At 42.1% G+C, this 26,121-nt stretch overlaps 2 protein-coding genes and 1 non-coding gene across 4 annotated transcripts; 1 reads left to right on the forward strand and 2 right to left on the reverse strand.

Moving 5' to 3' along the window:
* Positions 1-1,954: 1,954 nt before the first annotated feature.
* On the reverse strand, positions 1,955-22,323 carry WFDC10B (WAP four-disulfide core domain 10B). Of its 2 annotated transcripts, NM_172006.2 has the most exons (4): positions 22,222-22,323; positions 21,801-21,865; positions 3,206-3,360; positions 1,955-2,264 (listed from the first exon to the last, which is right to left on the reverse strand). In NM_172006.2, the coding sequence occupies exons 3-4, from the start codon at positions 3,294-3,296 to the stop codon at positions 2,134-2,136; spliced, it is 222 nt and encodes a 73-aa protein (NP_742003.1). In that variant the 5' UTR covers positions 3,297-3,360; positions 21,801-21,865; positions 22,222-22,323; the 3' UTR covers positions 1,955-2,133. The 2 variants fall into 2 exon arrangements, with proteins under 2 accessions (NP_742003.1, NP_742143.1); NM_172131.2 differs by lacking the exon at positions 3,206-3,360.
* Positions 19,342-26,121, forward strand: WFDC13 (WAP four-disulfide core domain 13). Its single transcript, NM_172005.2, has 4 exons — positions 19,342-19,515; positions 21,748-21,898; positions 23,167-23,231; positions 25,162-26,121. Exons 1-3 carry the CDS (start codon positions 19,428-19,430, stop codon positions 23,207-23,209), a joined length of 282 nt encoding a protein of 93 aa, NP_742002.1. The 5' UTR covers positions 19,342-19,427; the 3' UTR covers positions 23,210-23,231; positions 25,162-26,121.
* On the reverse strand, positions 22,406-22,484 carry MIR3617 (microRNA 3617). The gene has a single exon (NR_037411.1). It is a non-coding gene; the product is annotated as a microRNA 3617 (primary transcript).

Consider the following 26,121-nt stretch of genomic DNA (forward strand, 5'->3'; position numbering starts at 1 on the left):
AGTATCCTTCTAGAGTCTCCCCATTTACATTCACTTCGAAAAGCAGCATGGCCTAGGAGATAGAAAAAGAACAAACAATGCAAAAGCAATGGCAACCATAAGACTATGTGTTTGCTCTCAAACACAACAGGCCTCATCTGTGATTCTTTTCAGGCTAGAACTTGACATTTTGGAGATCCAGATTTTGGAAGAATTTGCCTTTGCTTCTTCCTCTGCCTCCAAGACGTCCATGTTCTTCTAAGGGTCCTCACTACCTTACTCTACATAATATGAGAGCACATAGATGTTTTCATAGAAGAGAGAGCACACAGTCATAACCAAATGGGCACTCCTTTCAGCTTTGAGTTCCCTGGGGCACTGTGAGCTGTCCAGAGAGCTCTCTGGAACACAGGTCAGGGCACCAGTGATTAGAAGAAAGCAGAGCAACTGCTTCCAGTAAAATTCATAGTCTATGATGCTCATGCCAGTGACATGGAATAGGTCAACCTGACACCCATGGCATGTCCACATGGTACAGTGCACTGAACTTGAATGGGGGAGGTTATTCTCTATATGGTCCCTGAAAGGTAAATTTGCCTCTCTTAATAGTGTCTCCTAGCAGTGTTTGGAGATGGCCTGAGATGACGCTTGCTAAGGGAGGCTATCTGAGGAAGCACCAAATAAGATCTCTTAGAGACCATGCCCTTATAGCCCACCTACTGCTGATGATGTCTGTGTTGGTAGTTGATTATGATCTCTTTTCTAAGACTCCCTTGTCCAAGAAAAGCTCTTGAGAAAGGTGAAGACAAATCTGAGATATCCAGAGCCTGGTGTGATGCCTCAGAGGTGGCTCATGGCCTCTGGTCTGATGGGGGAAGTTTTCTTCTCTGATGTCTCTTTCATTGAATAGCCCAGCAAGAAGCACTAGACTGGAGCATAACACTGCACACCTGCCTCTGGGCATGGCCTGTCCTCCTGAAACCTCTTCACATTTGACTCCGTGTTCCAATTAGCCACATGTGATGCAACCCTGGATCTGGCCCCAGGATCATTTCAGAGGAGTTGCGATTGCATAGAGTAAGGGAGAGTCTGTACCACAGTGGTTAATTTCCACTAACTCACAGTAGGATGACAGGCAAGACCCACTGCCACTCTGTGCCAATTACTCCTTAGCAATAGCAGCATGAACCACCTGTTCCCCACCCCTTGGTGTTCCTCTTGATCAAAAGAAAAGAGAATAAGCCTCTAAGGAAGAGGGCTTGGGAAAGATAGGGACTATTCAGTTAATGGAAGGTGCTGGAGTGTTAGATCCTGAGACCCAAATTGGGTCCCATCAGAGGAGTAGCCATGTTGGTGGGTGCTGGATAGGAGGAGCTTTGGGGTTGGTGCAGGCACTCACTCTCACTAGGATGCCTCTGGTCTCAAGTAATGGAGAGAAGTGAGAAAAAGTGAGCTCAGAGGAAACATCCTCTTCCGGCCACATCATATCCTCTCTCTCTCTTGTGGCCTTAGGCATGTCGCTGGCCTTCCTGGGACTCATTATCCTCATTGTAAAGAGACAGCAATCTGAAGCTCAGAAAGAGATTGGGGAGCATGAGGTGGGGGAGTACCAAGGCTAAGGAGACCAAAGCAGTGCTTGGGGGCCTCCCACTCTTTACCTTGGGTTCTAACTGCCACCCATCTCGTGCTTAATGGGTCCTTCTGACTCCAGGGTGAGAAATGTTCTCCTTAGCATCAGGAGACGCTGCACATGAGCAGTTCCTCCCCCTGGGAGTACTGGTTCAGTGAGCAAAACAGCAAGGGGCTGGGCATCCTGAGGGCTGGGAGGGATACATGGGCCAAAGAAGGAGAAGGAGGGTAGAGAAGCATAGCCAGGGAGAGAAATCAAACACCAGGACACAAGATGAGTGGGGCATCTTTGGGGGCTACAGTGGGCTCTCAATGATCACCTGTAGTGGCAGCAAAAGAGGCAGGATCCATGGGCATTTGTTCTGGTTTATTTGACAGGGACAGGGAGTTCAGACACTGGGGAGGGTGGCATTCCTGTTGATGTTCTTGTGCTGATGATTTGATGTCCTTGTGCTTCGGATGTGGGCACAGTCTCGGATGGAAGGGTTCAGGGAGCAGGATGCACATCCCAGCCCACTCTCCCACTCATAGGATGCTCATACAAATGTTCCCACAGAAGGCTGAACAGCATATCTTATTTGTTTCACACTTTTGGAAATATGAACAGTGGTGGATGCATAGATCTATGCTGGGTCGCTTCTCACAGACCTTGATTCCTGAAATGATGCAGGAGCAGGGTCAATGAAACCATGCACCTATAGAGCAGCCTTCTCAAGCTTGAAGCTCCTCCATGGCCCCAGAACCAAGGCACCCCTGCCACCACGACTCTCCTGGACTCTTCAGGGAACTTCCTTCCAGCCCATCACCAATCCTAGTGATTGGCAGTATCTTAAATCCTGTCTCCCTGCCCTGCATCTCACCCCAGTAGACTTCAATGCCTGGGCTTCCTGGACTCTCGCCATACACCTGCATTCAGAACTCTGTCTCCCCATTAATCATGGTGAAGTCACCCCCATAGAATCTATGGTCTGACCCTGAGAGCTCAAAGAAGCCTGAGACATTTCCAAACCCTCCCCTAGTCTCCAGAATTTGCAGAGCCCAGAAAAGAAGATGAACTTGCCTCTCATCCCTCCTTCTCCTCTCCTCTCCATCACTGTCCCTAGTATCGCTTCCCACCACCACTCTCCTGGCTCCTTTGATGTTATACTTAACTTTGCCCTGTATACTCCAACTTTTCATTGCTTATGTCCTTTTTACCCTACACTTATACCCATTTCTACACCTACACCTACCCTCATAACCACTTCTAGATGTTCACTCCTCACAAATGTGCATAAATCAAAGAATAATTGTCTTGCTTTCCCATTGGATTCTCAGCCCTGGTTCACCTTTCACTATGGGATGTACCATTTGTCTCTAAGTACTGGGAGCAAACAACAAAAGATGTAGGTTCCCCCTTCATTCCCACTACTATTCCCAGGGCCAGGTAAAGGGGTTGGAGGGCCATGGTTTGGGACAGCCCAGAGTCTGCACAGCATTGTGGTCAGAGCTGGATATGCAGAAAGGTTGCAAGTCCTAGGTCCTACTCAGACTGGACACAGCTCCTCCATTCCCCCTACCCAACTCTCCATCACCCATCCAGCAGCCCATCACCTACTCTGCATCCTCATCTTGTCACGGTATCCTCCCTGGGCCTGCAGCAGCAGCACACAGAGAACCAGGACAAGCAGCAGAGTCTGGGGTGCCATAACTCTGACCAGAGCGTGAGCCCTAAGTCTGGCCAGGCAGTCACAGACTTCCCTGCAGAGCTGCCTGTGGAGAGGGAAGGAAATAAAGAAGGAATGATCTTCAGCTCCTCGCTGCCTCCACTGGACAAGTCAGGGCAGAGCAAGAGTCCTTGCTTCCTGCCCTTGCCTTCTCCTGGCCCTGTCCTTCTCCATGTAGGATAGGGCTTCTGCAGGAATGATGCCTCCTCTCACATCACATAACCAGTCCTGTGTTCTTGCTAACAGAGTTTTTCTTTTCCAAAAGGTACTCTTTATTTCTGCTTTCTAATTATAAAATGCTTTATGGAAAAAAGAAAAGAAGAAATATAATTTTTTAAAAGGTGCTTAGAATTAACCCATATTTTATTACATTATCTTTTAGTTCCTCTGTATATTTAATGTAAACAATCTTTTATTTTCTCATTTTTGAATCACCTATCTTTTGTTACCTACCGTCTGCCACCTTTATTTAGTCATGCAAATATTTACAATGTCATTATTTCTCAAAAAGAAAAGACATAATTTTTTTGGGGGGGGGCGGTGAACGTAGCTACAGATAGACACTCCAATTTCCACAGTTGTGAAAGCAGAAATCATATCATGAGCCCCTTTAGGAAGTGGCTATTTGCATATAATGGATGTGTTCATTATAAATTCTTCTTTTTTTTTTTTTAGACAGAGTCTCACTCCACACCAGGCTGGAGTGCAATGGCGTGATCTTGGCTCACTGCAACCTCCACCTTCCAGGTTCAAGCAATTCGCACCTCAGCCTCCTGAGTAGCTGGGATTACAAGCATGTGCCATCACACCCAGATAATTGTTGTATTTTTAGTAGAGATGGGGTTCCGCCATGTTGGCCAGGCTGGTCTTGAACTCCTGACTTCAATTGATCCACCTGTATCAACCTCCCAAAGTCATGGGATTACAGGCGTGAGCCACCACACTCGGCCTAATTATAAATTATTCTTATCAATTCATTACACAAAACTCTATATGATTGAGCTATATTTTTAATATTAAGTTCTGGGGTACATGTGCAGGATGTGCAGGTTTGTTGCATGTGCTGTGGGGGCTTGCTGCACCTATCAACCCATCACCTAGGTATCAAGCCCAGCATGCATTAGCCATTTATCCTGATGCTCTCCCTCCTATGACAGGCCCCAAGGTGTGTTGTTTACCTCCCTGTGTCCATGTATTCTCATTGTTCAGCTCCCACTTATAAGGGAGAACATGGGGTGTTTGAACATGGGGTGTTTGGTTTTCTGTTCCTCCATTAGTTTGCTGAGGATAACGGCTTGTAGTTCCATCCATGTCCTTGCAAAGAACATGATCTCATTCCTTTTTATGCCACATAGTATTCCATGGTGTATATGTACCATATTTTCTTTATCCAATCTATCATTGATGGGCTTTTGGGTTAATTTCATGTCTTTGCTATTGTGAATAGTGCTGCAATGAACATATGCATGCATGTGTCTTTATAACAGAATGATTCCATTCCTTTGGGTATATACCCAGTAATGGGGTTGCTGGGTCAAATGGTATTTCTGGTTCTAAATCTTTGAGGAATCATCACATTGTCTTCCACAATGGTTGAACTAATTTACATTCCTACCAACAGCATGAAAGCGTTCCTATTTCTCCACAACCTCAACAGCATCTGTAGTTTCTTGACTTTTTAATAACCTCCATTGTAACTGGCGTAAGATGGTATCTCATCGTGGTTTTGATTTGCATTACTCTGATGTTCAGCTTTTTTTCATGTTTATCGGCTGCATATATGTCTTCTCTTGAGAAGTGTCTGTTCATGTCCTTTGCCCACTTTTTAATGGGATTGCTTGTCTTTTCTTTTATTATTATTATTATTATTATTATTATTATACTTTAAGTTTTAGGGTACATGTGCACAATGTGCAGGTTAGTTACATATGTATACATGTGACATGCTGGTGCGCTGCACCCACTAACTCATCATCTAGCATTAGGTATATCTCCCAATGCTATCCCTCCCCCCTCCCCCCACCCCACAACAGTCCCCAGAGTGTGATGTTCCCCTTCCTGTGTCCATGTGTTCTCATTGTTCAATTCCCACCTATGAGTGAGAATATGCGGTGTTTGGTTTTTTGTTCTTGCGATAGTTTACTGAGAATGATGATTTCCAACTTCATCCATGTCCCTGCAAAGGACATGAACTCATCATTTTTTATGGCTGCATAGTATTCCATGGTGTATATGTGCCACATTTTCTTAATCCAGTCTATCATTGTTGGACATTTGGGTTGGTTCCAAGTCTTTGCTATTGTGAATACTGCCGCAATAAACATACATGTGCATGTGTCTTTATAGCAGCATTATTTATAGTCCTTTGGGTGTATACCCAGTAATGGGATGGCTGGGTCAAATGGTATTTCTAGTTCTAGATCCCTGAGGAATCGCCACTCCCACCAACAGTGTAAAAGTGTTCCTATTTCTCCACATCCTCTCCAGCACCTGTTGTTTCTTGACTTTTTAATTATTGCCATTCTAACTGGTGTGAGATGATATCCCATTGTGGTTTTGATTTGCATTTCTCTGATGGCCAGTGATGGTGAGCATTTTTTCATGTGTTTTTTGGCTGCATAAATGTCTTCTTTTGAGAAGTGTCTGTTCATGTCCTTCGCCCACTTTTTGATGGGGTTGTTTGTTTTTTCCTTGTAAATTTGTTAGAGTTCATTGTAGATTCTGGATATTAGCCCTTTGTCAGATGAGTAGGTTGCGAAAATTTTCTCCCATTTTATGGGTTGCCTGTTCTCTGATGGTAGTTTCTTTTGCTATGCAGAAGCTCTTTAGTTTAATTAGATCCCATTTGTCAATTTTGGCTTTTGTTTCCATTGCTTTTGGTGTTTTAGACATGAAGTCCTTGCCCATGCCTATGTCCTGAATGGTAATGCCTAGGTTTTCTTCTAGGGTTTTTATGGTTTTAGGTATAACGTTTAAGTCTTTAATCCATCTTGAATTAATTTTTGTATAAGGTGTAAGGAAGGGATCCAGTTTCAGCTTTCTACATATGGCTAGCCAGTTTTCCCAGCACCATTTATTAAATAGGGAATCCTTTCCCCATTGCTTGTTTTTCTCAGGTTTGTCAAAGATCAGATAGTTGTAGATATGTGGCGTTATTTCTGAGGGCTCTGTTCTGTTCCATTGATCTATATCTCTGTTTTGGTACCAGTACCATGCTGTTTTGGTTACTGTAGCCTTGGAGTATAGTCTGAAGTCAGGTAGTGTGATGCCTCCAGCTTTGTTCTTTTGGCTTAGGATTGACTTGGCGATGTGGGCTCTTTTTTGGTTCCATATGAACTTTAAAGTAGTTTTTTCCAATTCTGTGAAGAAAGTCATTGGTAGCTTGATGGGGATGGCATTGAATCTATAAATTACCTTGGGCAGTATGGCCATTTTCATGATATTGATTCTTCCTAGCCATGAGCATGGAATGTTCTTCCATTTGTTTGTATCCTCTTTTATTTCATTGAGCAGTGGTTTGTAGTTCTCCTTGAAGAGGTCCTTCACGTCCCTTTTAAGTTGGATTCCTAGGTATTTTATTCTCTTTGAAGCAAATGTGAATGGGAGTTCACTCATGATTTGGCTCTCTGTTTGTCTGTTATTGGTGTATAAGAATGCTTGTGATTTTTGAACATTGATTTTCTATCCTGAGACTTTGCTGAAGTTGCTTATCAACTTAAGGAGATTTTGGGCTGAGACAATGGGGTTTTCTAGATATGCAATCATGTCATCTGCAAACAGGGACAATTTGACTTCCTCTTTTCCTAATTGAATACACTTTATTTCCTTCTCCTGCCTAATTGCCCAGGCCAGAACTTCCAACACTATGTTGAATAGGAGTGGTGAGAGAGGGCATCCCTGTCTTGTGCCAGTTTTCAAAGGGAATGCTTCCAGTTTTTGCCCATTCAGTATGATGTTGGCTGTGGGTTTGTCATAGATAGCTCTTATTATTTTGAGATACGTCCCATCAATACCTAATTTATTGAGAGTTTTTAGCATGAAGGTTGTTGAATTTTGTCAAAGGCCTTTTCTGCATCTATTGAGATAATCAGGTGGTTTTGTCTTTGGTTCTGTTTATATGCTGGATTACATTTATTGATTTGCGTATATTGAACCAGCCTTGCATCCCAGGGATGAAGCCCACTTGATCATGGTGGATAAGCTTTTTGATGTGCTGCTGGATTCGGTTTGCTAGTATTTTATTGAGGATTTTTGCATCAATGTTCATCAAGGATATTGGTCTAAAATTCTCTTTTTTGGTTGTGTCTCTGCCCGGCTTTGGTATCAGGATGATGCTGGTCTCATAAAATGAGTTAGGGAGGATTCCCTCTTTTTCTATTGGTTGGAATAGTTTCAGAAGGAATGGTACCAGTTCCTCCTTGTACCTCTGGTAGAATTCGGCTGTGAATCCATCTGGTCCTGGACTCTTTTTGGTTGGTAAGCTATTGATTATTGCCACAATTTCAGCTCCTGTTATTGGTCTATTCAGAGATTCAACTTCTTCCTGGTTTAGTCTTGGGAGAGTGTACGTGTCGAGGAATTTATCCATTTCTTCTAGATTTTCTAGTTTATTTTCGTAGAGGTGTTTGTAGTATTATCTGATGGTAGTTTGTATTTCTGTGGGATCGGTGGTGATACCCCTTTATCATTTTTTATTGCATCTATTTGATTCTTCTCTCTTTTTTTATTAGTCTTGCTAGTGGTCTATCAATTTTGTTGATCCTTTCAAAAAACCAGCTCCTAGATTCATTAAATTTTTGAAGGGTTTTTTGTGTCTCTATTTCCTTCAGTTCTGCTCCGATTTTAGTTATTTCTTGCTTTCTGCTAGCTTTTGAATGTGTTTGCTCTTGCTTTTCTAGTTCTTTTAATTGTGATGTTAGGGTGTCAATTTTGGATCTTTCCTGCTTTCTCTTGTGGGCATTTAGTGTCATAAATTTCCCTCTACACACTGCTTTGAATGTGTCCCAGAGGTTCTAGTATGTTGTGTCTTTGTTCTGATTGGTTTCAAAGAACATCTTTATTTCTGCCTTCATTTCGTTATGTACCCAGTAGTCATTCAGGAGCAGGTTGTTCAGTTTCCATGTAGTTGAGCGGTTTTGAGTGAGTTTCTTAATGCTGAGTTCTAGTTTGATTGCACTGTGATCTGAGAGATAGTTTGTTATAATTTCTGTTCTTTTACATTTGCTAAGGAGAGCTTTACCTCCAACTATGTGGTCAATTTTGGAATAGGTGTGTTGTGGTGCTGAAAAAAAATGTATATTCTGTTGATTTGGGGTGGAGAGTTCTGTAGATGTCTATTAGGTCCGCTTGGTGCAGAGCTGAGTTCAATTCCTGGGTATCCTTGTTGACTTTCTGTCTCGTTGATCTGTCTAATGTTGACAGTGGGGTGTTAAAGTCTCCCATTATTAATGTGTGGGAGTCTAAGTCTCTTTGTAGGTCACTCAGGACTTGCTTTATGAATCTGGGTGCTCCTGTATTGGGCGCATATATATTTAGGATAGTTAGCTCTTCTTGTTGAATTGATCCCTTTACCATTATGTAATGGCCTTCTTTGTCTCTTTTGATCTTTGTTGGTTTAAAGTCTGTTTTATCAGAGACTAGGATTGCAACCCCTGCCTTTTTTTATTTTCCATTTGCTTGGTAGATCTTCCTCCACCCTTTTATTTTGAGCCTATGTGTGTCTCTGCATGTGAGATGGGTGTCCTGAATACAACACACTGATGGGTCTTGACTCTTTATCCAATTTGCCAGTCTGTGTCTTTTAATTGGAGCATTTAGTCCATTACATTTAAAGTTAGTATTGTTATGTGTGAATTTGAACCTGTCATTATGATGTTAGCTGGTTATTTTGCTTGTTAGTTGATGCAGTTTCTTCTTAGTCTCCATGGTCTTTACATTTTGACATGATTTTGCAGTGGCTGGTAACGGTTGTTCCTTTCCATGTTTAGTGCTTCCTTCAGGAGCTCTTTTAGGGCAGGCCTGGTGGTGACAAAATCTCTCAGTATTTGCTTGTCTATAAAGTATTTTATTTCTCCTTCACTTATGAAGCTTAGTTTGGCTGGATATGAAATTCTGGGTTGAAACTCTTTCCTTTAAGGATGTTGAATATTGGTCCCCACTCTCTTCTGGCTTGTAGAGTTTCTGCCGAGAGATCCACTGTTAGTCTGATGGGCTTCCCTTTGTGGGTAACCCGACCTTTCTCTCTGGCTGCCCTTAACATTTTTTCCTTGATTTCAACTTTGGTGAATCTGACAATTATGTGTCTTGGAGTTGCTCTTCTCGAGGAGTATCTTTGTGGCATTCTCTGTATTTCCTGAATCTGAATGTTGGCCTGCCTTGCTAGATTGGGGAAGTTCTCCTGGATAATAACCTGCAGAGTGTTTTCCAACTTGGTTCCATTCTCTCTGTCACTTTCAGGTACACCAATCAGACGTAGATTTGGTCTTTTCACATAGTCCCATATTTCTTGGAGGCTTTGTTCATTTGTTTTTATTCCTTTTTCTCTAAACTTCCCTTCTCGCTTCATTTCATTCGTCTTCCATCACTGATACCCTTTCTTCCAGTTGATCACATTGGCTCCTGAGGCTTCTGCATTCTTCATGTAGTTCTCGAGCCTTGGCTTTCAGCTCCATCAGCTCCTTTAAGCACTTCTCTGTATTGGTTATTCTAGTTATACATTCGTCTAAATTTTTTTCAAAGTTTTTAACTTCTTTGCCTTTGGTTTGAATTTCCTCCTGTAGCTCGTAGTTTGATCGTCTGAAGCCTTCTTCTCTCAACTTGTCAAAGTCATTCTCCGTCCAGCTTTGTTCCATTGCTGGTGAGGAACTGTGTTCCTTTGGAGGAGGAGAGGTGCTGTGCTTTTCAGAGTTTCCAGTTTTTCTGCTCTGTTTTTTCCCCATCTTTGTGGTCTTATCTACTTTTGGTCTTGATGATGGTAATGTAGAGATGGGTTTTTGGTGTGGATGTCCTTTCTGTTTGTTAGTTTTCCTTCTAACAGACAGGACCCTTAGCTGCAGGTCTGTTGGAGTTTGCTAGAGGTCCACTCCAGACCCTGTTTGCCTGGGTATCAGCAGCGGTGTCTGCAGAACAGTGGTTTTTCGTGAACCGCGAATGCTACTGTCTGATCGTTCCTCTGGAAGTTTTGTCTCAGAGGAGTACCCAGCTGTGTGAGGTGTCAGTCTGCCCCTACTGGGGGGTGCCTCCCAGTTAGGCTGCTCAGGAGTCAGGGGTCAGGGACCCACTTGAGGAGGCAGTCTGCCCATTCTCAGATCTCCAGCTGCATGCTGGGAGAACCACTGCTCTCTTCAAAGCTGTCAGACAGGGACATGTAAGTCTGCAGAAGTTACTGCTGTCTTTGTTTGTCTGTGCCCTGCCCCCAGAGGTGGAGCCTACAGAGGCAGGCAGGCCTCCTTGAGCTGTGGTGGGCTCCACCCAGTTGGAGCTTCCCGGCTGCTTTGTTTACCTAAGCAAGCCTGTGCAATGGTGGGCGCCCCTCCCCCAGCCTTGCTGCCGCCTTGCTGTTTGATCTCCGACTGCTGTGCTAGCAATCAGCGAGACTCGGTGGGCATAGGACCCTCCGAGCCAGGTGTGGGATATAATCTCCTGGTGCGCCGTTTTTTAAGCCTGTCGGAAAAGCACAGTATTGGGGTAGGAGTGACCCGATTTTCCAGGTGCCGTCTGTCACCCCTTTCTTTGACTAGGAAAAGGAACTCCCTGACCCCTTGCGCTTCCCGAGTGAGGCAATGCCTCGCACTGCTTCGGCTTGCGCACGGTGCGCTGCACCCACTGACCTGCGCCCACTGTCTGGCACTCCCTAGTGAGATGAACCCGGTACCTCAGATGGAAATGCAGAAATCACCCGTCCTCTTCATCGCTCACGCTAGGAGCTGTAGAACGGAGCTGTTCCTATTCAGCCATCTTGGCTCCTCCTCCTGTTTGTTTTTTCTTATAAATTTAAGTTCCTTGTAGACTCTGGATACTAGACGTTTGTCAGGTGGATAGATTGCAAACATTTTCTCCCATTTTGTAGGTTGTCTGTTCACTCTGATGATAGTCTATTTTGCTGTACAGAAGCTCTTTAGTTTAATTAGATGCCATTTGTCAATTTTTGCTTTTGTTGCAATTGCTTTTGGTGATTTTGTCATGAAATCTTTGCCAATGCCTATGTCCTGAATGGTATTGCCCAGATTTTCTTCTAGAGTTTTTATAGTCTGGAGTTTTACAGTTAAGCCTTTAATCCATCTTGAGTTAATTTTTGTATAAGGCATAAGGAAGAGGCCCAGTTTCAATTTTCTGCATATGGCAAATAGTAGCAAAAAGAGCTGTGATTATTATATTAAAGTCAAACAAAATACACATTGTGTCAAATATTGTTAAAAGAAACAAAAAACATGATTATATATCGATAAAAGGGTCAATTCATCAAAAAGATATAAAAATTATAAACATATACACACCAAGCAATAGAGCTTCAAAATATATGAAGCAAACACCACAGGATTGAAGGGAGACGAAGCACTACAAAATAGTTGGAGAGTTCAATATCCCACCATGGCATCATAAGAAATATATTTGGTCTTTGTCCCCAGTTCCTGGCACAAGGTTCCTAAAACTCTTGGAATTTCCTGAGTGATGGGTGTGTCTTTTGATATTCATAAGAAGCCCCTTTCGATTCCACCTCAGTTTCTGCTAATGAGGTTACTTGGAGTGGGGCCCCTAGGTAGCCTCAGGATGGAGCTGGTCACCAGAAAGGTCAAGTGATTAGAGGTCTGGAAATTTTAGACCCACCCACTCTCCTCCAGGAAGTTAAAGAAGGAAGGAGTTGAAGCTCTATAAAAACTCTTAAACAATAAGATTTGATGAGCTTCTGAATTGGTGAACACATCCATGTGCCAGGAGGGTGGCACACACAACTCACAAGGACAGAAATTCCTGTGCTTGGGACCCTTCTGAAGCTCACCCTATTTACTTCATCTGGCTATTCATTTGTATCCTTTATAATAAACTGATAAACCTTAAGTAAAGTGTTTCCTGAGTTCTGTGAGCTGTTTCAGCAAATTATCAAACTTTCAGATGGGATTGTGGGAGCCCCTGATTTATAGCCAGTAGATCAAAAGTGCAGGAGGCCCAAGACTTGCAACTGGCACCTGAAGTTGGGAGTAGTCTTGTGAAATCAAGCCTATAAGCTGTGGGGTCTGCACTAACTTCAAGTAGTTAGTGTCAGAATTAAATTAAATTTTGGAACACCCAGTTGGTGTCCAGAGATAGGAGAATTGGTTGTTGGTGTTGGAAAGCATTCCAGGCCCTCTTTCAATAATGAATAGAACATGTAGACAGAAAAATCAATAAGGAAATAGGGTACTAAACAACACTATAAACCTAAGACAGACCTAAGACAAGAAGAGAATGCATATTCTTCTCAAGCACATATGGAACATACTCCAGGATAAACTACATGTTAGGCCACAAAACAAGCCTAAATACATTTTAAAAGATTGAAATTATACAAACTATCTTCTCCAGCCACAATGGAACAAAGCTAGAAATCAATAAGAGAAGGAAAACTGGAAAATTCTCAAAAATGTGAAATTAATACACTCTAAAACAACCAATGAGTCAAAGAATAAATCACAACGGAAATTAGAAAATAATTTGAGCCAGGCATGTTGACTCATGCCTGTAATCCCAGCACTTTGGGAGGCTGAGGTGGGTGGATCACTTGAGCCCAGGAATTCAAGACCAGCCTGGCAACATAAAAAGACCCTGTCTCTACAAAAAACTAACTAACTGGGCATGGTGGTATGCACCTGTAGTCCCAACTACTTAGAAAAAAAACTTTCGGATGAATGAAAATGAAAACACAAAACACAACATCCAAAAACTTATGAGATGCAGTAAAAGTAGTTCTCAGGGTAGAAAATCTATAACTGTAAATACTTACATTAAAAAAGAGCACGGCCAGGCGCAGTGGCTCACGCCTGTAATCCCAGCACTTTGGGAGGCCGAGGCAGGCAGATCACGAGGTCAGGAGATCGAGACCATCCTGGCTAACACAGTGAAACCCCACCTCTACTAAAAATACAAAAATTAACTGGGCATGGTGGTATGAGCCTTGTAGTCCCAGCTACTCAGGAGTCTGAGGCAGGAGAATCGCTTGAACCCAGGAGGCAGAGGTTGCAGTGAGCCAAGATCGCGCCACTGCACTCCAGCCTAGGCGACAGAGCAAGACTCCGTCTCAAAAAAAAAAAAAAAAAAAAAGATCTCAAATCTGCAACCTAACTTTACATCATACGAAACTAGAAAGAGAAGAACAAATACACCCAAAGCTAGCAGAAGGAAGGAAATAATAAACATGTGAGCACAGAAAAATGGAATAGGAAATAGAAAACCAATAAAAAGAATCAACAAGACCAAAGCTTGGTTTTTTTAAAAGATCAATAAAATTGAAAATCTTTAGCTAGATTGACTAAGAAGAAAAGAGAAAAGACACAAATAACTAATATCAGAAATTAGAGTGGGACATCACCACCAACCTTACAGAACTAAAAAAATTATAAGAGAATACTATGAACAATTTTACACCAACAAATTAGATAACCTTGGATGAAATGGACAAATTCCTAGAAACTCACAAATCACCAAAACTGACTTGAGAAGGAATAGAAAATATTAACAGACCTATAACAAATAAAGAGATAGAATCAGTAATTTTTGAAAAATACACATGACTCTCTTCAACAAAAAGAATGCCTAGGGCTAGATGACTTCACTGATAAAATCTATACCAAACATTTTTTTATTAACACCAATCCTTCTCAAAGTTTTCCAATCTTAACTGATACAGAAAAAGCATTTCACAAAATTCACCACCCTTCTATAATTAAAAAAAATTCAGAAAACTAGGAAATAAAGGACTTCCTTAACATGATTAAAGGTACCTATAAAAAACTATATACAATGATCATTATACTCAATTGCAAAAGATCAAAATCTTTCTCCCAAGATCAGAAATAAGACAAGGATGCATCTTTCACCACTGCTAGTCAACATTGTAATGGAGTTCTAACCAAAGCAATCAAGTAATAAAAAGAAATAAAAGTCATCCAAATTGGGAAGAAAGTAAAACTATCTCAGCTGTTTTTGTAAACACCAGCAATGAGCAATCCAAAAAGGAAATTAAGGAAACAATTTGATTTACAACAGGCTATGAAAGGATAAAATACCTAGAAATAAATTTAACCATGGAGGTAAAAGACTTGTATACCACAAAATACAGAACATTGCTGAAAGAAATTATAGAAGACCTCAAGAAATAGAAAGACATCCCATCATTTTTTTTTTTTTTTTTTTTTTTGAGACAGCGTCTGGCTCTGTCACCCAGGCTGGAGTGCAGTGGCATGATCTTGGCTCACTGTAACCTCCATCTCCCAGGTGCTGGGACTATAGGCGCATGCCACTACGCCCAGCTAATTTTTGTATTTTCTGTAGAGACAGGGTTTTGCCATGTTGCCCAGGCTGATCTCGAACTCCTGAGCTCAAGCAAACCACCTGCCTTGGCCTCTCAAAGTGCTGAGATTATAGGCGTGAGCCACCACACCTAGCTGACATCCTATATTCTATATTGGAAGACTTAAAATTATTAAGACGGCATTACAATGCAATTCCAATCAAGTTCCAACAGGTATTTCTTTTTCTTTTTTTTTTTTTTTTTTTGAGATGGAGTCTCGTTCCGTCACCCAGGCTGGAGTGCAGTGGCGCGAGCTCAGCTCACTGCAACCTCCGCCTCCCAGGTTCAAGCAATTCTCCTGCTTCAGCCTCCCGAGTAGCTGGGACTACCAGAGTGTGCCACCACTCCTGGCTAATTTTTATATTTTTAGTAGAGATGGGGTTTCACTATGTTGGCCAGGCTGGTCTCGAACTCCTGGCCTCAGGTGATCCACCCGCCTCGGCCTCCCAAAGTGCTGGGATTATAGGTGTGAGCCACCACACCTGGCCGGATTTTTCTTTATTTGAGAAACAGAAAACTTGATCCTCGAGTTCATACAAAACTGCCTTTTCATTGTTGTACTTTGTAGGGTCTCCCATTTCCCCCATTTTGTGCGTTCTGAGTGAAAAACAGAGAGTGCCTTGTTGGCTGTGTGACCCAGCCAGTTGCATGTTTTTCCCAGCAAGGCTGAACCGAAGCCAAGGCTTTGGATAGCCAAAGCAGTCTTCAAAAAGTAGAATTCACACTTCCTGATTCAAAAATAAGCCAATGATTTAAATATAAAAGCTACAGAATTCTTAGAAGAAATGTAGAAGTAAATCTTCATGACTATGGATTGGGCAATGGATTCTTAGAAAAGACACCAAAAGCACAGTAACAAAAGAAAAAAAAATCGGACTTCATCAAAGTTAAAAATTTTTGTGCCTCAAATGACTATCAAAAAAGTGAAAAGACAGCCTATGGAATGGGAGAAAATATTTGAAAAAATCATCTATCTGGTGAGTATCCAGAATATATTAAAGAACTCTTATGACTCAAGAAGAAAAAAAAAAAAAAACCCAATTACAAAATGGGCAAAGGACTTGAATATACATTTCTTCAAAGAAAATATAAAAATGACCAACAAGCACATGAAAATATGCTCAATATCGGCTGGGCACGGTGGCTCATGCCTGTAATCCCAGCACTTCGGGAGGCCAAAGCAGGTGGATCACCTGAGGTCAGGAGTCCAAGACCAGCCTCGCCAACATGGTGAAACCCTGTCTCTACTAAAAATACAAAAATTTGTCAGGTGTGGGTGGCAGGCGCCTGTAATCCCAGCTACTCAGGAGGCTGAGGCAGGAGAATCGCTTGAACCCAGGAGGTGGAGGTTGCAGTGAGCTGAGATCACACCACTGCACTCCAGCCTGGGCGACAGAGTGAGAATCCATCTAAAAAAAAAAAAAAGAAGAAGGAGGAGAAGGAGGGGGAGGGGGAAGAAGAAGAAGAAAGAAATGCTCAACATCATTAGTTATTAGGGAAATACAAATAAAAACCATGAGATACCACTTCACATTTTTTGACTGGCTATAATTTCTAAAAAGGAAAATAATAAGTGCTGACAAGCATGTGGAGAAATTGGAACCCTCGTGCATAGCTGATAGAAGTATTAAATTGTTCAGCCGCTGTGGGAAGAGTTTGGAGTTTCCTCAAAAAAGTAAACATACAAAGTTAAACATATGACCCAGCAGTTCTACTCCCAAATATTTACCCAAATGAGTTAAAAATATATACTCAAAAAAATATTCATCTACAAATGTTCATAGCTGCATTATTTGCAATTGCCAAAGCAAGGAAACAGCTGAAATGTCCATCAACAGATGAATGGATAAACAATTGTGATATATATATATACAATGGAGTATTATTCACCCATAAAATGGAATGAAGTACTGGTGCATGCTACATAGTAAATGAACCTCAAAAACTACAGAAATAACATTTCCTACCCAATTGTTTTGGAAAAAATTCAAAAGCATGACAACACGTTCTGTTAGTGAGACTGTAGGAAACGTGCACAGTCACATTGTTGGTGGCATTACAAAAAGGTATAATCTTTATGAAGTAGAAATCGGCAATATCTAGCCAAACTATATGTGCATTTATCCTCTTTTTTCTCTTTTGAGACAAAGTCTAGCTCTGTCACCCAGGCTGGAGTGCAGTGGCTTGATCTTGGCTCACTGCAACCTCTGCCTCCCGGGTTCAAGCGATTCTTCTGCCTCAGCCTCCTGAGTAGCTGGGACTACAGGCATGTGCCACCACGCCCATCTAATTTTTGTATTTTTAGTAGAGATGGGGTTTCACCATGTTGACCAGGCTGGTCTCGAACTCCTGACATCATGATCTGCCCTCCTCAGCCTCCCAAAGTGCTGGGATTACAGGCGTGAGCCACCGCACCCAGCCGTGCATTTATCCTTTTAACCAATGATCACACTTTTAGAAATTTACTGATATTATACCTCCAACAATACAGAAAATTATGCATAATTGTTCATTGCAGCATTATTTATAATAGCAAAATCTTGGAAACTACCTAAATGCCCAAATATAGGAGACTGGCTATATGACTAAGGTGTATGTCAAATGCAGCTGTAATAGAGGAAAAATTGTTATGAACTACTGGAGAGCAGTTTTCAGGATATATTGTTAAATGAAAACAACAAGGTGCAAATGGGTATATTCGTGCAAGAAAAACAGAGTTGAGAGTTCAAGTAACTAATTATCTTAAATCAAGAATTTATAGAGAATTGATAAAGAAGGGCTGCTACTCAGCACATCCTATGAAGTCAGCATAAACTTGCTATGAAACCAAGCAAGGACAATATGAGAAAGACAAGTTACAGGCCCAGTTCATTATGAACATAGATGTAAAATACCTTAAAAATAGCAAACTAAACCAAACAATATAAAAATGATAATATTCAATGATCACCTTATATTACCATAGAAATGGCTTAATGTTTGAAAATCTGAATGTTCACTGCATTAACAGATTAAAGGATATAAAAATGTTATCATCTCAATATACATAGAAAAAAGCAATACATATAATCTGACATAAACTAATTTAAAATTTCTTGTTAGGAATGAAAGAAAAATTTCTAAACCTGATAGAGGGTACTTATGAGAAACCTAAAGTGGAGACAATTCTAAAAGGGGAAACAAGAAGTTTTCATTTTAAATCAGGTATCAGACAAAAATACACACTATCACCACTTACATATGATGTACTCAAGGGCCTAGCGAGCACAGTGAGGCATTAAAAATGGCATAAAGTTTGAAGAAGAAAACTATAACTGCTTATTTGCCTATGATAAACACTGAAGAGAACACACAAAGAAACCATAATAAACAATGGGAGAATTTAGCAAGCTAACTAGTTACAAATTTGTGGAAAGAAGAAAAGATCCAAGCTTTAAAGAGAGGAAAGCAAGTTTGAAATAGTATTTGTAGAAAGTGGGAACACTGGCTTACTGAAGAAACTTAGTAAGATTGCCAGACCCTTTTTGGTTTGGTGATGGTGCATCTATTGTGCTGTTTAGTAGCCCAGTTGAGTTATTTTCCCCCAGCAACAATTATCTGCCTAGGTTCAAGCTTCAATGAAATTGATGGTTGGATTCATTCAGGGTTGCAGTTTTTGTAGGTAGATTCAAGCAAGGAGATTTAAATGACAGGTTCTGAGTCCTACATTGATAGAAAGAAAAGTAAACGCCTATAGGGGAGGACTACGAAATAGGGAAGTGAAGAGTCAATGTTTATTGGTTTCAGTGAGGTCAAATAATTGTCATGGTGGAGATTTTTGAGCAAACTGGAAAGTTAACTTCTCTACATTAGCAGTAAACAAAAGGAATTAGTTGAAAAGTTATGATAACATTTACAATTTCCTTTTAAAAACTTCAAGCCTCAGACCAGGCGCGGTGGCTCACACCTGTAATCCTAGCACTTTGAGAGGCTGAGGAGGGCAGATCACCTGAGGTCAGGAGTTCAAGACTAGCCTGGATAACACAGTGAAACCCCATCTCTACTAAAAATACAAAAATTAGCTGGACATGGTGGTACACGCCTGTAATCCCAGCAACTCAGGAGTCTGAGACACAAGAATTGCTTGAACCTGGGAGGAAGAGGCTGCAGTGAGCAGAGATCGCACCACTGCACTCCAGCCTGGGTGACAGAGCCAGACTCCATCATCTCAAAAAAAAAAAAAAAAAATTCAATCCTCTGTGAATAAATATAACATGTACAATTTCCACAGGGGAAAATTATAAAAAAATGTTAAGGGACATGAATAAGATCTAGATACAGATGAAAGAGATAGCAAGGTCAAGATTAGGGGAATAAAGGAGGATATGAAAACACTACGTGACCCTGGAGTGGGTGTGATTGGGAGGTGCTTGGATTCCTGCCCTGCCGGTTTTGATTGGAGTACACGGTGAAAGGCTAGTCACACTGGGCCTCCACTTTGCCCTCTTTCCTTCTCTTCTCCTCACAGCAGTGCCTGGTCAAACCCAGCAACCCTTGGCCAGAACTTACTCACCCATCCCACTGACACCATGAAGCCTGTGCTGCCTCTCCAGTTCCTGGTGGTGTTCTGCCTAGCACTGCAGCTGGTGCCTGGGAGTCCCAAGCAGCGTGTTCTGAGTAGGTGCTGGATCTGGGCCCAAGGAGGGAAGTAACATGTGTGGATAGGAGAGGATCTGAGGGCTGACAGTCTGTCACACCTCTTGGAAAAATACCGTGTCATGTTCAAGGGCCCAAGCTTTATTGTTGGCAAGATCTAGGTTTGAATCCCTGCTCTGTTGCTGAGTGACCTTGGGCATAGTATCTGGGCCTCAGGTTTTTATCCTTATAATGAATACAGGAGGAGAACAGATAATGCATGCAGACATAGCTCACTCTTACTAAACCATGGTAAATGCTCAGTAATATTAAATGCTGTAAATGTGATCAGCCTCATCATCCAGCTTAGTCTTGCTGCCCGTGGCTCCTTCATGGATGCTTGGACTCACTTTTCAAGCAATAAAACAGAGAGACAACGAAGTTGGTAGAACTCAAGCTAGAATCTACATAACCTTGGCCTTGGAGGATGTTTTGGGAAGGAGGGAAAGGAAGTCTTGCCTTTTATTCCACATTTTCAAACTCCAGAGGTACTGTACAATTACCGGTAATTAGCATCAATGGGACAGTGTAGAGTCCATCTCAGCAGCCACCACTGCCCAGCTCAACTCAAAAGAGCTCTGGCTCTAGTAATGTTGACCTTAACCAATACCAAGTGGGAAAAGAACTGTTATTCATCATACATCCACTCTTCTATGGGGAAAACATCTTCAGAATACTGGCGGCTCAGAAGAGGGATAAGTGTGGTAGCTCATGTGTCTGGGGAGGCTAGGTCCTGCTTAAGAAGTTTCAGAAAAGGCATGCAGGTTTGTAGGACTAAGAGGGACTAAGCAAGCTACAAGAAAATAGGAGTGCCCAGGGTAGAGTTAATTGGAGAATCAGAATTTGAGGAAAGGCACAAAGAGGCTTTCTAAAAGACTGGTAAATGCTGTGAGTGAAGTTGGGACCAGATACCCAGAAGAGGGGTCAAGACTTGAAAAGGGTGACCTCTCTGAGATCTCTGGATCATGGTGTCTATCTCTAAACTGCTCTGTTGAGCCCCAAGCTCTTCAAAGTGTGGATTAGTTCCAATTTCTTGCAGTGCCCCAGTGAGCTATAGAATAGCTGAGAGGCCAGGGGTGAGTACTAGTTATTGGTCTCTGTTAAATTGTCAACAGCTTGAACCTCAGCTTCTTTTACCCCAATTCTGGTGCCATTTGCTACTACAGTTATAGTCATGACCTCTTTCTTCATTCATTCCTTTCAAATCATCATAATATCCTATAGATTTCCTTCTAATTGCAAATATTTGCAGAGGAATAGACCCACAATTCCTCTATTTGCAATAGAATGCCCCACTTTTGACTTTTGCCCCCAAAGAAAGGGAGAATCACAAGGTACAAAAATTAGGACCTGGAAGGGCTTGGGGAAAGGGATTAATGGGGCCCATCTTTAGAGTCCAGGAATAGAAAGGAGATTGTGGGTTGTGGACTTAGGGAAGACTCTCCCAGGGCAGGTAGGTCTTAGCTTTGAACTGAAATACTTGGGGGTAGGGGAGGAAATAGGAAGTCAACATAATGATGCTTATTCTTCTCTAACAGTAGAAAGTGGGGCATCCTGGTGCTCTGGCCTCCTGATCGAGAGACACCAAGGAAGAAAAAAGCTGAATCTTTGAACGCCATTCTGAAATCCCCACCCTTCTTACCATGAAAGAAGTCACTCCCAGAACTTACTTGTGAATTGGGTCCCAGCTCTCTGATCCAGTACCTTCAGTTTAATGCATGGTCTTCATCCTTTACCAAAACTTACCTTTCACTCATTCTTCCTGTACACAAATAACCCATGTTAGGTTAACCCCAGGGTAAACTATGTTGTTAATGAGAAGCTCTACAACTTGCTCAAGACCACACAATGAATCAGTGCAGAACGAACATACAAACCTCTTTCTTGTTCACCACATACACCATTGATACCCTTGATATGGACACAACCATAGTCAATGGGGGCTTGGCATCTGAACTACAAGGATGGTGAATGACCAATGGGTGCAGGGTTCTACCAAACTCTGTTCTTGATCAAAAAATATCCATGCCCTGCTTCCCTGCTCAGAACTCAGAGGAAGGCAGCAGCTGAGGACAAAACCTGATGCCACCACCCTGGAACCATGCAAGGCAGATGAGGGTGGCAGGTTTCCTGGCAGTTCCCTGGGCTTTCTGAGTTCTGAACATTACTCCAGCCTGTTGGTGAGGCCCTTCTCTTACTTGTTCTGTGTTCCAGAGTATATCTTGGAACCTCCACCCTGCATATCAGCACCTGAAAACTGTACTCACCTGTGTACAATGCAGGAAGATTGCGAGAAAGGATTTCAGTGCTGTTCCTCCTTCTGTGGGATAGTCTGTTCATCAGAAACATTTCAAAAGCGCAACAGGTAAGAGATATCTCATATCCAGGTCTGATCCTAGAGCTGCTGGTGGGAGCCCAGCAGAAGAGTCCCTTACCAGCAACTGTGCTGGATCTCTCCTTTTTTTTTTTTTTCCTTGGTGGCCATGTTGCCAACATGCCCCTTCTCTTGACCAAGGATAATTTCCATAAAAGTCCTGATTAGAAAAGCCCTCCTCCCCTCCCAATCACCACATCCCATCACCATATCCGTGAATTTCTGACTCTGCCTCTCTGAACACACCCACAAATGCCTTTATCCACAGACCTTCCCCCGACCCAGAATCCACCCTTATCCCAGGGACACTGTACCTGCAGGTGTAACCAAAATCCCAAAGCAAAATTTGTCCTACACTTTTGCTTGCCCTCCTTTCACAAGACACCATCCTTTGGCCACCAGTGTTCTTGGGCTCTGGAGATCCAGCCCAAAGGAAGTTTTGATTAATTGTCCAGACATTAACACTAGCCGCAAGCCTGCTAAATGGAGTGTGCTCCCAGGGCAGAGAAAGGACATAGGGTGCTGATGAGACATATGGTTTCTAATCCCATCTTGCAACTATGTCTTTCTATGACCTTGAGTAAGACAATTCCCTCTTTTTTACTTTCTTTTTCTCATGAGTAAAATAAGTACTCTTGTTTTTTCCTGCTTTGCAAGGCCCATATGAAATTTCAAAAGACTCACAGTGGAAGACTCAACCAATGAGCCCTTTGAGGGAAGCCTGGCAGTCTTGTTCCCTGCTGTATTCCCTACCATGAGCAGAATACCCAGCATGAGATAATGTGCAGAGTGATTAAGCATGGGCTCAAAGCCAAACACCTGGGCTCAAATCCTGGCTTCTTAGCTAAGTGACCTTAAGTGATCTTAGACAAGCTAATTAACCTCTCTCTGGGCATCAACTTCCTCATCCTTAAGACTGGAACAATAATAGTGAGGTTAAAATAGACAATCCATGTAAGCTTTAAAACATTACTTGCCAACATAATTGCTGTGAATTTTGGGGATTAGGCAACCACTTCTCTTTGAAGAGACTAGCCCTTGCAATTAAATTCCACATCTTTCAATGCTCTACATTGGAATGCAGAAGCATAAATATAACTCTTTGGTGTCATTGAGTTTTTTGAGGTTCTGCCTTCCCTATGGCAAGAGAAATGAGCTTCATGGTCTAATATTAATGGTGGAAGTAATTGAAAGAAAAATATATATCTCTAAAAGTAAAACTTCACTAGTTAATATTTGAAAATATTTTTCTTCTACAGAATCAAACACAAGGGCTCAGAAGTCATCATGCCTGCCAACTGAGGCATATTTCCTAGATCATTTTGTAAGTACAGGGATTTGGTCTCGCCTTCCTCATGTGAGATTCCCAGGGATGCTCACTTTCTTCCTGTAGCCTCACCAGGGGCACTACATTCCCACAAGCTCAGAATGGCCTCTCATTACCTGATTGCCTCCTCCTCCATCATTCCCCTCCAAGGGCTATCTTTGCACTCCCTGGGGGAGGCACGGTGCAGTCCAGCATGAATTCTGCAACACAGAGCAATGTAAGGAACCAAGTCATGGCCCAGGGGGAACCCAGGGCACTCAGATCTGAGGCTTTGTCAAGGAACAAGCTCTTCTAGCCTCCGGGTTGACAGCACCCTGGGCAGGGACTCAAGCTGAGCCCTTCACGCTCTGAGACTTTGGTCTGCTCACTGTACCTCTCTGAGACAGTCACCTCCCTCATGTGAAATATGAAGAAAACATCCATGCCTTGGGGTATTGGGAGGACAACACAAGGCCATGTAGATGGAAGAACTTGGTCTCTGCAAAGGTAGAAACTGCCAGCAACTCACTTACAAGGTCACTCATTCAGGTTCCAGTTTTTTCTCTGAAAAAAGAGGGAGTGGGCCGGGTATGGTGACTCACACCTGTAACCCCAGCACTTTCGGAGGCCAAGGTGGACGGATCACGAGGTCAGGAGTTCAAGACCAGCCTGACCAACAGAGTGAAACCCTGTCTCTACTAAAAATACAAAAATTAGTTGGGTGTGATGGTGCACACCTGGAATCCCAGCTACTCAGGAGGCTGAAGCAGGAGAATTGCTTGAACCCAGGAGGCAGAGGTTGCAGTGAGCCAAGAGTGCACCATTGCACTCCAGCCTGGGCGACAGAGTGAGACTCCGTCTCAAAAAAAAAAAAAGAGGGAGTGGGAATCATCTTTATTATTTTACTGATGCTTCAAGAATGGTGAACAAAATGGAGTCCTGTGGAATTCCACCACCAAAAAAATGATAGTATTCATAAGTTGGTGGATTTCGTTTCAGAGTATTTGAAAGAAAAAGTTAGAAGTTTAGGGTCTTCTAATGGGCCTTCTGATGTCTCCAGATGTTCCAAATTAGAATGGTGGTCTTTCAGCTTAGTCCTTTTATTAACCCTGTACAAAGGAGCGTGATAAATAGTAGCAGGTGGAGGCCAGTGGAGCAGTTTAGACGCATGAGCACTTGCCCAGGCTCCGGTGAGCCCACCATGCTGCGGATGAGCTCCCACTCATGCTTCAAGGTTTCTATTAAATTAAACACTCCATAGAAACTTCACCAGTTCACTCCAGACAGAATTAGTCCCTCTCTTTGTCTTTTGTAGTGTCCTATCTTTGGCCTACCATAACCTAGTGACCCCTGATCCAGGGCAGGAAATACTGTTCAGAAAAATCTATAGACTCTTTTACTACCAGAAACTGACCATATGTGGTTCGAGTTGACCTGAGTGAGGCAGGTCTCTTACATACAGGTTGGCTATCACTGTTTTAATAATCTGAGTTTGATCTATCCAATACTGTAGGCACTGGTCACGAGAGGCTATTTAAATGTTAATTCATATGAATTACAATAAAATAAAATATTCAATCAGTTCCTTAGCCTTATTTTCCATTTCAAGTGTTTAATAACCACATGTGGTTAGTAGCTACCATATTACACATTATAAATACAGAACACAGAAAGTTCTAATGGAAAGCATTGCTTTAAGCTACATAAAGCTGATGTCTAAAAAATGATGGCTAATTAAAGGTGATCATGACAGAGGACACCCTCTATGACAGCCTCATGTTAGACTCCAGGAAAAGTTTTTGGGGGCTATTTCTTTAAGGAGTTCCTAAGCATAGCCTGACAACAGACAGTTCAATGACAGTAATTCTCTAGAGACCCAACATGATGTCCAAGGATGTTTAAAGAATCAAGAAGAATAAATGGACTAATTATCTTTCCTTCCCCACAGGCCTCTACGATGTTTTTTCTTGGTCCACCTTTAGGAAGGTATTGAGAAGCAAGAAACTGGAGGCCCAATATCTAACCTGCAAATCGTTTTTGAGTTTGGCAATAAAGGCTAATCTACCATAAAACTCTTGAAGCTTAAGCTTTAGGTCAACACTTGCAAGAGCCCCTTCCAAAGCTCAGCACAGTTTCCTCCTGGGATGAGGAGAGGAATCAGAAACCCCACTTTGGCATAGAGACAAGCAGCACTGTTCCAGTCCAGGGATGCTGTGTGTGCCCTGGTGGTGGTCTTAAGGACCTACCACATCAACATCTGGACAACCCTCACTGATTACCTGCCCTTGGTTGCACTCATCAGGCTAATTGATCCCATATTTAACCTCAAGGAGAAATATCAACCAGACACTGCATGGCAACCTCCTTGGGGCCAGCCTTCAAGGCTTCATGGCCATATCATGAACCCAGGACAGGCACAGTGGGGGTGGTGAGGACCTGATAGAGTTGGATCAGTGACTAAGAGGCTGCAATAAGGTGCCATGAAATCAAAATCAAAGGGCTAGAACTCTCCAAGGTCTTGCCCCCGGCATGTAGCACCACCTGAGCCAGAAACTGCAGAGGACATGACAGTGTGGCATTACTGATAAGTTATGGAAATGGAAATAATCTTTCCTAAACTACCAATAATAACTTTAAATTTTTGATCAACCATGCTAGAGCAAAGATTGAATTATCCTTCTGTTCTCTCTACAGAAATGATATAAAAACTATAGTCATAAGAAGAGACAATCAAAAATAATCAGCCATAAAATATTAAAAAGGTATTATAAAGGTATTTAAAATAATAATAATAAAGTGTTATTTTCCTGGGATTCATGATATTTGATATATTCGTAAGCTTTTGTTAAGTTTGTAATTTGTTGCAATTTCTTTTTCATTTCAAATAAATATTCACTTACGTGTCTAA

The sequence above is a fragment of the Homo sapiens genome, chromosome 20, assembly GCF_000001405.40.
Source record: "Homo sapiens chromosome 20, GRCh38.p14 Primary Assembly".
In the NCBI taxonomy this organism is placed as follows: domain Eukaryota; kingdom Metazoa; phylum Chordata; class Mammalia; order Primates; family Hominidae; genus Homo; species Homo sapiens.